Below are 12,115 nucleotides of genomic sequence, written 5' to 3' on the forward strand. Positions count from 1 at the left end.
AGAGCAAGACTCCGTCTCATTAAAAAAAAGAAGAAGAATTTCCAAATCCTACCTCTGGCTCACCATTAAAACAGCCAATTTGGGGGTGTTTGGGGCAGCCGGTTACAATTCTCCCTCTCTACCCCTCCACCTGCCACTAGCACAGGTGCGATTTTCAAAATTCCCATCAACGGGTGTGGGACACCCTGGATGCTGCAGTTCCCACAAGCAAACAGGCGAGGGCGACTCTAGGGAGAGTCACCGCGGCCGTGGGCTGGCCCAGCCTTGAGGAGAGCATTGACACACAGCGTTTGCCAGAACCATGGCCAGGGACGCTGCCTACTTGCTGGAGGTCCCTGCTCCTTCTGGACAGGGATTTATGGTTGGGTGCATTGCTTAGAATAGGAATTAGCTACCATTTGACTGACTTTTTGGTTTTTTGCTTTTTTCCCCATCTACGTCAAGTTCACTGACTTCATTATCTCTATTCTACTTTTGAGCTCATTCAAGGTTTTGTTGTATTATTATTATTATTTTAGAGGGAATCTCACTCTGTCGTCCAGGCTGGAGTGCAGTGGTGCGACCTCAGCTCACTGCAACCTCTGCCTCCCTGGTTCAAGCGATTCTCCTGCTTCAGCCTCCTGAGTAGCTGGGATTACAGGCACCCACCACCACGCCCGGCTAATTTTTGTATTTTTAGTAGAGACGAGGTTTCACCATGTTGGCTAGGCTGATCTTGAACTCCTAACGTCAGGTGATCCACCTGCCTTGGCCTCCAAAGTGCTGGGATTACAGACTTGAGCCACCGTGCCCAGCCTGGCTTTGTTTTATCATTGCGGTTATTATATTGTTCAGTTCTAAACTTTATTTAAATTTTTTTATTTTCATTTATTTATTTATTTTTTATACAGGGTCTTGTTCTGTCACCCAGGCTGGAATGCAGTGGTGCAGTCATGGCTCACTGCAGCCTCCTTCTGGGCTCAAACAATCCTCCCATCTCAGCTTCCCGAGTAGCTGGGACCACAGGCACAAGCCACCATGCCTGGCTAATTTTTAATTTTTTTGTAGATATGGGGTCTTGCTTTGTCACCCAGGCAGGTCTTGAACTGCTGGACTCAAGAGATCTTCCTGCCTTTGCCTCCCAAAGTGCTAGAATTACAGACATGTAAAATTTCTGTTTGGGGCTGGGTGCAGTGGCTCATGCCTGTAGTCCCAGCACTTTGGGAGGCCGAGGCGGGAGGATCTCTTGAGACCAGGAGTTTGAGACCAGCCTGGGCAACATAGCGAGACCTCATTTCTACAAAAAAATAAAATATTGACAGTGTGGTGGCTCATGTCTGTAGTCTTGGCTACTCTGGAGGCTGACGTGAGAGGATCACTTGAACCTGGGAGGTCGAGGCTGTAGTGAACTATGATCATGCCACTGTACTCCAGCCTGGGTGACAGAGGGAGACCCTGTCTCAAAAGAAAACAAAAAATTGTTTGGCTCTTCTTTACATCTTCTCTTCTTTGCAAAGACTTTCTATATTTCCATTGATTTCAAGAGTGTTGGCCTTTCTTGCAACATTTTGATAATAATTGCTTTAAAGTCTTGATCTGATATTTCCAATGTTTTGTCATCTCAACATTGACCACTGTTGATAGTCTTTTCTCCTGTGAGTTGAAATTCTCCCGGCTCTTTGTATGCTGAGTAATTTTGGAGTGTCTCCAAGATATTTTAAATATTAGGATATAGGAATCTGGATCTTTATACAATTCTATGGAGAATGTTGATATTTTTGTTTTAGCAGGCTGTGGTTTTTTTTTTTTTTTTTTTTTTTGGACATGCTGGACCTAGGAACCCTGAATTTCCACTACCTTGCTGTGTCTCCACACCCTTATCACAGCCCTGCGTCATCTCAGGCAGCTCTGACCACCTCCTGAATGTCCATGGCCTGACCAGAAGCCCTTGGAGAACTGCCCTATGGGTTTCTGAGTTCCTCCCTAGCATAAGTGAGTTTGGGGCTCAGTAATGTCTTGGAAACAAACTTGGGTAGACTTGATGCTTGTTATGGTTACACACCCTGGTTACACATTATGCTAAGTGAAAGAAACCAGACACAAAGCCTCTATAATATGTGATTATTGATTCCATGATTCTGGACATTTCATAGACCTATGATTCCATGCCTACTTTGAAATGTCCAGAATAGGCAAATCCATCATGACAGAAAGATTAATCACTTAGGGATATATGAAATATATGGAATAGGGATAAAGGGTTTGGAATTTCTCTTTTTGTTAAGAAACAGGGGCTTACTCTGTCACCCAGGCTGGAGTGCAGTGGCCCAGTCATGGCTCACTGCAGCTTCAAGCTTCTGGGCTTGGGCCAGGCACGGTGGCTCATGCCTGTAATCCCAGCACTTTGGGAGGCTGAGGCAGGTGGATCACCTGAGGTCAGGGGTTCGAGACCAGCCTGGCCAACATGGTGAAACCTTGTCTCTACTAAACATACAAAAATTAGCTGGGCTTGGTGGCATGTGCCTGTAATCCCAGCTACTTGGGAGGTTGAGTCTGGAGAATTGCTTGAAACTGGGAGGAGGAGGTTGCAGTGAGCTGAGATCGCACCCCTGTACCCCAGCCTGGGTGACAGAGTGAGACTCCATCTCAAAAACAAAAATAAAAAACCCCAAAAACTTCTGGGCCGGAGTGATCCTCCCTCCTCAGCCTCCAGAATAGCTGAGGCAGCTTTATTGAGCTATAACTGTTTACCAGTGGTTCTGGGTTCAAATTCTAACTCCACTAGCTGTGTGACTCTGGGTGAGTCACTTTAATCCACCAAGCTTCTGTGTCCTGCGGGTTAATAGTGTCTGTGGGGGGCCAGCCTGGCATTGGACAGGCATTCGAGAAGTGCTAATTATTGTTTTTGAAGCAGCTTTATTGACATAGAAGTCACATATCATACAATTCCCCCTTTCAAAATGCACATTTCAATGGCTTTTAGGATACTCACAGAGGTGTGCAACCATCATCACGGTCAATTTTAGAACATTTTCATCACTACAAAGAGAAACTACAAACAAGAGCTGGGTGTAGTGCCTTATGTCTATAATCCCAGCAGTTTGGGAGGCCAAGGTGGAAGGATCACTTGATGCCAGGAGTTCAAGACCAGCCTGGGAAACATAGCAAGACCCTGCCTCTACCAAAAAAAAAAAAAAAAATTTAACTGGGCATGTTGGCATGCACCTGTGGTTCCAGCTACTCAGGAAGCTAAGGCTGGATGGTCACTTGAGCCCCAGGAGATTAGGGCTGCAGTGAACTATGATCGCACCACTGTACTCCAGCCTGGGTGTCAGAGTAAGACCCTGTCTCTAAAAAATAAAAAATAGAAAAGAGCTGGGTGTAGCAGCTTACATCTGTAATCCCAGCACTTTGGGAGGCCGAGGTGGGCGGATCACCTGAGGTCAGGAGTTTGAGACCAGCCTAACCAACACGGAGAAACCCCGTCTCTACTAAAAATACAAAATTGGCTGGGCGTGGTGGTGTGCTCCTGTAGTCCCAGCTACTCGGGAGGCTGAGGAAGGAGAATTGCTTGAACCCGGGTGGCGGAGGTTGCAGTGAGCCGAGATCACGCCATTGCACTCCAGCCCAGGTATCAAGAGCGAAACTCCGTCTCAAAAATAAAAATAAATAAATAAATAAATAATTGTTACTGGCCTTGTCCTCCAAGATAAAAAGGTCTGATCTCTCCCCAGTCCATCCAGAACACAGAGAAGGGAAATAATTGGGAAGGTCATTTTGGACCAGACTCATCCATGGTGATGTTAGATGGGACAGGGAATGCCACATCCCCAAAAGCGGTGAAGCCAGACGTACAGGGTGCTGGGTCAGATGCTGGAGAGAGAGCAGGGAATTGTGGCTTTGGTGGTCACGGAGCTGGGGACATGGGGACAGGGAGAGCCTTGTGTGTGTGTTCGCTGGTATGACCCAGCCCTTGGGTAGCTCTGGGGCCTGGGCAAGGATGGGCTGGATGAGGAAGCCAGGCAAGGAAGCAGGTCCATCCTGCCTTGAGCTGATCGTCTGCTGCCTCTGTCCCCTTGCCGTCCCCGCACTGTCCCTGGGCTGGCACACCTGCACTGAAGCTCTTCTCAGCATCTCACCCTGAAGATTCTGGCTTCTCTGGATGACTTCGACCCTTTTGTGCTGCTATAAAGGAATACTTGAGGCTGGATAAGGTTTTTTTTTTTTTTATACTTTACGTTCTAGGGTACATGTGCACAACCTGCAGCTTTGTTAGATATGTAGACGTGCCATGTTAGAGTGCTGCACCCATTAACTCATCATTTACATCAGGTATTTGTCCCAATGCTATCCCTCCCCCTTCCCCCCAAGGCTGGATAAATTTATAAGGAAAGAGGTGTATTTGGCTCATGGTTCTGCAGGCTGTACAGGACGCATGGTGCCAGCATCTGCTGCTTTTTTTTTTTTTTTTTTTTTTTAGACAGAGTCTCATTCTGTTCCTCCAGAGCTGGAGTGCAGTGGTGCAATCTGGGCTCACTGCAACCTCCACCTCTTGGGTTCAAGCAATTCTCCTGCCTCAGCTTCCTGAGTAGATGGGACTACAGGTGTTCACCACCACGCCCAGCTAATTTTTGTATTTTTAGTAGAGACGGGGTTTCTCTATGTTGGCCAGGCTGGTCTCGAAATCTGCCTCTTTATGAGAGACAAGGTTTCACTCTGCTGCCTGGTGGGAGTGCAGTGGTGAGATCCTAGCTCACTGCTGCCTCCAACTCCTTGGCTCAAGTGATCCTCCCACCTCAGCCTCCCAAGTAACTGGGACTATAGGTGTGCACTGGTACACCTGGCTAATTAAAAAATGTCCTTTTTTTTTGAGATGGAATCTCACTACGTTGCTCCGGCTGGTCTTGAACTTCTGGGCTCAAGTAATCCTCCCCAGCCTTGGCCTCCCAAAGCTTTGGATTCACAGGCGTGAGCCACCTCGCCCAGCCAGCACCCGTTTATGGTGAGAACCTCAGGAAGTTTCCAAAGGTGTTTGCAGATCACATGATGACAGAAGAAGGTAGAGAGAGTTGGTGGGGAGTGGGGCAAGGAGGTGGCAGGCTCTCTTCAACAACCAGTTCTTGCAGGAACTAAGAGTGAGAACTCGCTCCCTTCTGCAAGAATGGTACCAAGCCGTTCATGAGGGATCTGTTCCCAGAACCCAGACACCTCCCACCAGATCCAACTCCAACACTGGGGATCAATTTTCAACACTGGGCTGGGTGAGGTGACTCAAATCTGTAATCCCAGCACTTTGGGAGGCCGAGGTGGGCGGATCACCTGAGGTCAGGAGTTTGAGACCTGCCTGACTAACATGGTGAAACCCTGTGTCTACTAAAAATACAAAAATTAGCTGGGTGTGGTGGCGCATGCCTGTAATCCCAGCTACTCAGGAGGCTGGGGCAGGGGAATCACTTGAACCCGGGAGACGGATGTTGCAGTGAGTCGAGATCACGCCATTGCACTCCAGCCTGGGCAACAAGAGCAAAACTCCATCTCGGGAAAAAAAATTTCAACATGAGATTTCAAGTGGACAAATATGGAAACCATAAACCATAGCACCGGCCCCTCCACCTCCAGTTGCCCTCTCTCACCTTCTTTCAGCCACACCTCCCAGGCCCCAGGTCCTACCCCAGCTCTCCCATGCCTCCGGGCCTTTGCCACATGTTTTTCCACCTAGGAGGTGAGTTCCTCCTACTCACTCACCTGACTCTCCCCTTCTTAATTTTTCTCTCCAGTTTTTATTTTGCAAACTTAAAACCAGGCTGGCTGGGCGCAGTGGCTCACACTTGTAATCCTAGCACATTGGGAGGCCAAGGTGGGTGGATTGCTTGAGCCCAAGAGTTCAAGACCAGCCTGGCCAACATGGCAAAACCCCATCTCTACAAATAATACAGAAATTAGCTGGGTGTGGTGGCATGTGCCTGTAGTCTCAGTTAGGAGGCTGAGGTGGGAGGGCCACCTGAGCCTGGGGAGGTTGAGGTTGCAGTGAGGCAAGATGGCGCCACTGCACTCCAGCCTGGGCAACAGAGTGAGACCCTGTATCAAAAAAAAAAAAAAAAAAAGAGGAAAAAAGAAAAACTTAAAAAGCTACAGAAGCCTGAGTGCGGTGGCTTGAGCCTGTAATCCCAGCACTTTGGGAGGCCGAGGTGGGCGGATCACTTGAGACCAGTTGTTCAAGACCAGCCTGGCCAACATGGTGAAACCCCGTCTCTACTAAAAATACAAAAATTAGCCAGGCGTGGTGGTGGGCGCCTGTAATCCTAGCTACTCGGGAGGCTGAGGCAGGAGAATCACTTGAACCTGGGAGGCAGAGGTTGTAGTGAGCCGAGATCACACCACTGCACTCCAGCCTGGGCAACAGAGCAAGACTCCATCTCAAAAAAAAAAAAAATCTACGGAAAAGTTGCAGGAATAGTCCAGTGAACTTTCAGATGCCCTTTGCTCCAGTTCACCAAACGCTAACATTACTATGGTTGCAGTCTATCTCTTCTCTCCCTACATACACGCACTTCGCTTTTTCCTGAACCATTTGAAAGCTAGATGAATACATCATGACAATTGACTGTCCAGAACTTCAGCATGCATCTCCTATGAACAGGACATTCTCCACCAGAGGTTCTGGAACTTGAGCAACGTTGAGTACTGAGTCCTGCCCGCTGGCTCCTTCAATGCCCCTTTACTGCCCAAGCAGAAGCCAGGAAGTCTCCCTAGAGGAGGTGAGGCTGGGGCTCAGCTTCCCTCCTTTCTTCCTTTGATTTCCTCCCTCCCTCCTTCCCTTCCTTCTTTCCTTTCTCTCTCCCTCCCTTGCTTTCTCCCTCCTCCCTGCCTCCCTCCCTTTTTCCTTCCTTCATCCCTTCCTCCCTCCTTCCTTTCTTCCTTTTTTTTTTTGAGATGGAGTCTGCTGTGTTGCCCAGGCTGGAGTGCAGTGGCACGATCTTGGCTCACTGCAACCTTCACCCCCCAGGTTCAAGTGATTCTTGTGCCTCAGCCTCCTGAGTAGCTGGAACTATGTTGAGTGCCACCACGCCTGGCTAATTTTTGTATTTTTAGTAGAGACGAGGTTTCACCATGTTGGCCAGGCTGGTCTGAAACTCTTGACCTCAGGAGATCCTCTCACCTCAGCCTCCCAAAGTGCTGGGATTACAGGCTCAAGCCACTGTTCCCGGCCTCTTCTTTCTTTCTTCCAGCTCTTATTTTTTAATTTATTTTTTAAATTTTTATTTATTTATTATTTTGAGATCAGGTCTCGCTCTGTTGCCCAGGCTGGAGTGCAGTGGTACAATCTCGGCTCACTGCAACCTCCGCCTCCCAGTTTCAAGCAATTCTTCTGCCCCAGCCTCCTGAGTAGCTGGGATTACAGATGCCTGCCACCACGCCTGGCTAATTTTTTTTGTATTTTAAGTAGAGACGGGGTTTCACCATGCTGGCCAGGCTGGTCTCGAACTCCTGACCTCAGGTGGTCTGCCTGCCTCAGCCTCCCAAAGTGCTGGGATTAGAGGCGTGAGCCACTGGGCCTGGCCTACAGGCTTTATTTTTAAGAACAGTTTCAGATTTATAGAAAAATTGAGAGGATCATACAGAGTTCTGTGTATCCCCACACTTTCTCCTACTATTAAAATCTTACATTAATACTGCCTATTTGTTTCAGTTAATGAACCAATGTTGATATCAATATTGATACAATGTTATTAACTGAAGTGTATGCTTTATATGGATTGCCACAGGTTTTTTTGTTTATTTATTTATTTATTTTTGACAGAGTCTGGCTCGGTCACCCAGACTAGAGTGCAGTGGTGTGATCTTAGTTCACTGCAACCTCCGCCTCCCGGGTTCAAGCAATCCTCCTGCCTCAGCCTCTCGAGTAGCTGGGACTGCAGGCACCCGCCACCACATCTGGCTAATGTTTGTACTTTTAGTAGAGACGGGGTTTCACCATGTTGCCCAGGCTGGTCTCGAGCTCCTGACCTCAAGTGATCCTCCCTCCTCAGCCTCCCAAAGTGCTGGGATTACAGGCGTAAGCCACCTTGCCCAGCCACACAGTTTTTTATCTAATGGTCTTTTTCTGTTCCAGGATCTCATCTGGGATCCCATATCACATTTATTTACATACAATTTACACTTACTTACATACTATTTACATTTATTTACACATATTTGCATTCGTTTACATATATTGATTTCTATGGCTCTTCCCCAGTGTTCTGTTTCTGCTTCAGGAGCCCACCCAGGACACCAGGTGACATTTAGTCATCACGTAACGACGGCTCCTCTTGGCTGCCACAGTGTCTCAGCCTTTCCTTGTTATGACGATCTTCAGGTTTTAGGAGTGCTGGTCAGCTATATCGCAGATGCTCCTGTCTTGGGATTTGTCTGATGTTTTTCTCATGATTAGATTAGGATTATGGGTTTTTAGGAGAAAGATCACAGGTAAAGTGCCATTTGCTTTACATTCTATCACGAGTATAGATTATTAGCATGACAAATAACTACTGATGTTGACTTTGATCTCCTGGCTGGGGCAGTGATTGCCAGCTTTCTCCGCTGTAATGTTACCCTTCCTGTGCTGCACCCCTTGGAACGAAGTCACCCTGTACAGCCCATACTCATGTTATTCTCCCCGCCATGAGGGCAGAAGTATCTGCATACATTTTTTGGAGTTTAAAAACTTCTTTTAAACTAAAAAAAACACTTTTTTTTTTTTCAGGCAGAGTTTTGCTCGTCGCCCAGGCTGGAATGCAGTGGCCCGATCTCGGCTCACTGCAACCCCCGCCTCCTGGGTTTAAGCAATTCTCCTGCTTCAGCCTCCCGAGTAGCTGGGATTACAGGCGTGCGCCACCATGCCCAGCTAATTTTTGTATTTTTAGTAGAGATGGGGTTTCACCATTTGGCCAGGCTGGTCTTGAACTCCTGACTTCAGGTGATCCACCCGCCTTGGCCTCCCAAAGTGCTGGGATTACAGATTTTTTTGTTTCTTCTTTTTTTTTCCATTTTATTTTATTTTTTTGAGACAGAATCTCGCTCTGTTGCCCAGGCTGGAGCACAGTGGTGCAGTCTCAGCTCAGTGCAACCTCTGCCTCCGGGTTTAAGTGATTCTCCTGCCTCAGCCTCCTGAGTAGCTGGGATTACAGGTGCCTTCCACTATGCCCCGCTAATTTTTTGTATTTTTGGTAGAGACAGGGTTTCACCATGTTGGCCAGGCTGGTCTCTAACTTCTGACCTTGTGATCTGCCCACCTCGGCCTCCTAAAGCGCTGGGATTACATGCATGAGCCATCACACCCGGCCTCCATTTTATTTTTGTTTTATTCACAAAGACCCCAATAACAACTATTTTAATTTTTTGTTGGTTGGTTGGTTTGTTTTTGTGACGGAGTCTCCCTCTGTTGCCCAGGCTGGAGTGCAGTGGCGTGATCTTGGCTCACTGCAACCTCCGCCTCCTGGATTCAAGCAATTCTCCCACCTCAGCCTCCCAAGTAGCTGGGACTACAGGCATATGCCACCACGCCCAGCTAATTTTTGTACTTTTAGTAGCAACGGGGTTTCGCCACGTTGGCCAGGTTGGTCTCGAACTCCTGACCTCAAGTGACCCACCAACCTGGGCCTCCCAAAGTGCTGGGATTACAGTTGTGTGGCACCACGTCCGGCCTAAAATCTTTAAAAAAATTGTTTTTTTTTTTTTGTAGAGACAGGGTCTTGCTATGTTGCCCAGGGTGGTCTGGAACTCCTGACCTTAAGTGATTCTCTCACCTGGACCTCCCAAAGTGCTGGGATTACAGGCGTGAGCCACCTCGTCTGGTCCCACCAGTGATTTCTGATTCCTCAGTGTGACTGCAAGGCCAGTGAGCCCCAGGCCCTGAAGACATCACACAAACTGAAGCCTGGAGGTTTTTATGGCAGCCAAAGCTTGGCAATGGCTGATGGGACAAGTGAGGGCCTTCCCTTCCTGATGTCCTGGGACCGCATATATCCAGGTCAGAGTGGGAGCTACAGGAAGGACTGACTGTGAGTTCTCTGCCAGCCTGCTGAGATGGCAAAGAATGGGAATGAAATTGACTGAAAGAAAATAAACATGGATGCTTGTTGCACGGATGTGGGTGAGGAGAGCCAGCCTGTATGGGGACATGGGGATGGAGACTGATGCTGGGGGGGTAGTGACACCAACTGGGTGGCAGCTGGCAGGCCCCTGGGCATCCACACTCCCCCTGCTCAGTTGGAGAGAAGCAAGAAAGCATAAAGGGAGGGAGGGAGGGAGGAAAAGAGGTGGGAGATGAGTGCTGTGGGTGAGCGCTGAAGCACACTTCAAAAGCTCAAGCCACAATGCTTACGCCCTGATATAAAAAGAGCATTGAGTTGAGCGTGGTGGCTTACGCCTGTAATCCCAGCACTTTGGGAGGCTAAGGCGGGTGGATCACTTGAGGTCAGGATTTTGAGACCAGCCTGGCCAACATGGCGAAACCCTGTCTCTACTAAAAATACAAAAATTAGCCGGGCATGGTGGCGGGCGTCTGTAGTCCCAGCTACTCTGGAGGCTGAGGCAGGAGGATCGCTTGAACCTGGGAGGTGGAGCTTGCAGTGAGTGGAGATCGCGCCATTGCACTCCAGGCTGGGTGACAGAGTAAGACTCTGCCTCAAAAAAAAAAAAAAAAAATTGAAAAATTACAAAGCTCAAACCTAATCACCAGTGTGGCTGCTCCTGGCCCCACCCTGCCTCCTGCTCCCCAGGGGAGGGGACAGGTCAGAGAGGGGTGTGCCCTTCCAGGGGCCTGAGATGATCCAGACATGGGAGCTGGCAGGGAATGAGGGCTCCGGCAGGGCTGGGTCAGTAGGTACACCTGGCAATAGGGCAAAGATCTGGCAGCTGGACTTCTTGGGCTCTGAGAAGGCAAGAGATTAGTATCTGTGTGTGACAGGAGAGGGCGTGGCTGGTGTCCACCCATCCATGCTGGGAGACGTGGGAGAGATGGGGCGGGGACACAGGGCAGGAGAGAGGCCAGGCCTGGGGCCTCTGTGCCGGGAGGGATAATACGATCTCTGAGTCACCCCGAAATGGGGTGAGATGGTGCTGATGATCCCGGATTCCTTGGTTTTGTCCCTGGCTCTGTCACTGCTGACTCATGGGCTGCCGACCTAGGAGTCTCCTGGTCAGCGTGCGGGTTTCTCTCAGCCTCTTGGTGTGTCACAGAAGCAGACAGCTTCTCTGTAAACCGTCATCCTCAGGGGTGTGCCCGGCTTCTGGGTTCTGTGTTCTGGCATCCTCCGATATTCCAAGAGGAAGCAGGATAGGACGATCCCAGCTCCTTGCTCTGCCTACTGGTGACAAGACCTGTCCTGGCCTGGGACCAGGGGGGCTTCTCTGGGAGTCCTGGTTGGTCCTGAGACAGGGACACCCTCCCAGTGAAGCCCTACCTCCTCTGTCCTCCATCACCCAGCCCACAGCAAGGCCACCCTCCTGACTCTCCCTCCAATTAACCCAAGCTCCTGGGTTGCGCCCTTGAGGCCCACACCGATGCTCCCAACTTACTTTCCAGCCCTATTCCCTCACCTGTCTGGCTTCCGACTCCTCAAGTTGAGTTTTCCACAGATACTTCCTCCCCACACACACACCCGTTTTTGTCCCTGCTACTCTCCTTTTGCGAGAGCTCTCTCCTCTTCATAGGTCTCTAAGCTTTTACTCACCCTTCAGGTCTCCTCTCCACCTGCCACCTCCTCCAGGAATCCTGCCTGGTGTGCCCCAGGTAGAGTTGATTTTTCACTCTCCAGTGCTCACACAGAGCTTGTTTTCCCTGCGTGGGAGCTGTTTATTTAAATTCAGGCTGGCCTGATTACACCCTGATGAGCTCCATGCCAGCCCTGGGCCTGGCCCAGTGCGCTCAGCATGTCCTTCCAGAAAGAATGAAGGAATAAAAAAAGACGAAGAGTAATAAATAGGAGAGTAGGGGTAGAGGATGAGCCCCAGAATCAGACATTAGGCAGGGTGTGGATACCAGTCTTGCCATTATTCTGGTGGCCCTGGAATGTCACATCAGTTCCCAGAGCCTTAGTTTTCTCATCTCTAAGATGGGAATGGGCTAGGCATGGTCACACCTGCAATCCCA

The 12,115-nt window shown here is 49.2% G+C and overlaps 3 annotated features.

Moving 5' to 3' along the window:
• Window positions 221-330: a silencer, noted in NCBI's record as "silent region_18267". NCBI's record gives its function as "represses an Ori minimal core promoter by ATAC-STARR-seq in GM12878 lymphoblastoid cells {active_cell/tissue: GM12878}" and the evidence as "EXISTENCE:reporter gene assay evidence [ECO:0000049][PMID:35858748]".
• Window positions 8,213-8,791: an enhancer, noted in NCBI's record as "OCT4-NANOG hESC enhancer chr7:73234209-73234787 (GRCh37/hg19 assembly coordinates)". NCBI's record gives its function as "activates a minimal SCP1, AML or CMV promoter by ChIP-STARR-seq in primed H9 embryonic stem cells {active_cell/tissue: H9 hESC(primed)}" and the evidence as "EXISTENCE:reporter gene assay evidence [ECO:0000049][PMID:30033119]".
• Window positions 10,586-11,785: an enhancer, noted in NCBI's record as "MED14-independent group 3 enhancer chr7:73236582-73237781 (GRCh37/hg19 assembly coordinates)". NCBI's record gives its function as "activates an origin of replication core promoter dependent on BRD2, BRD4, P300/CBP and CDK7 cofactors, and independent of MED14, by STARR-seq in HCT116 cells {active_cell/tissue: HCT116}" and the evidence as "EXISTENCE:reporter gene assay evidence [ECO:0000049][PMID:35650434]".

The sequence above is a fragment of the Homo sapiens genome, chromosome 7, assembly GCF_000001405.40.
Source record: "Homo sapiens chromosome 7, GRCh38.p14 Primary Assembly".
Lineage (NCBI taxonomy): Eukaryota > Metazoa > Chordata > Mammalia > Primates > Hominidae > Homo > Homo sapiens.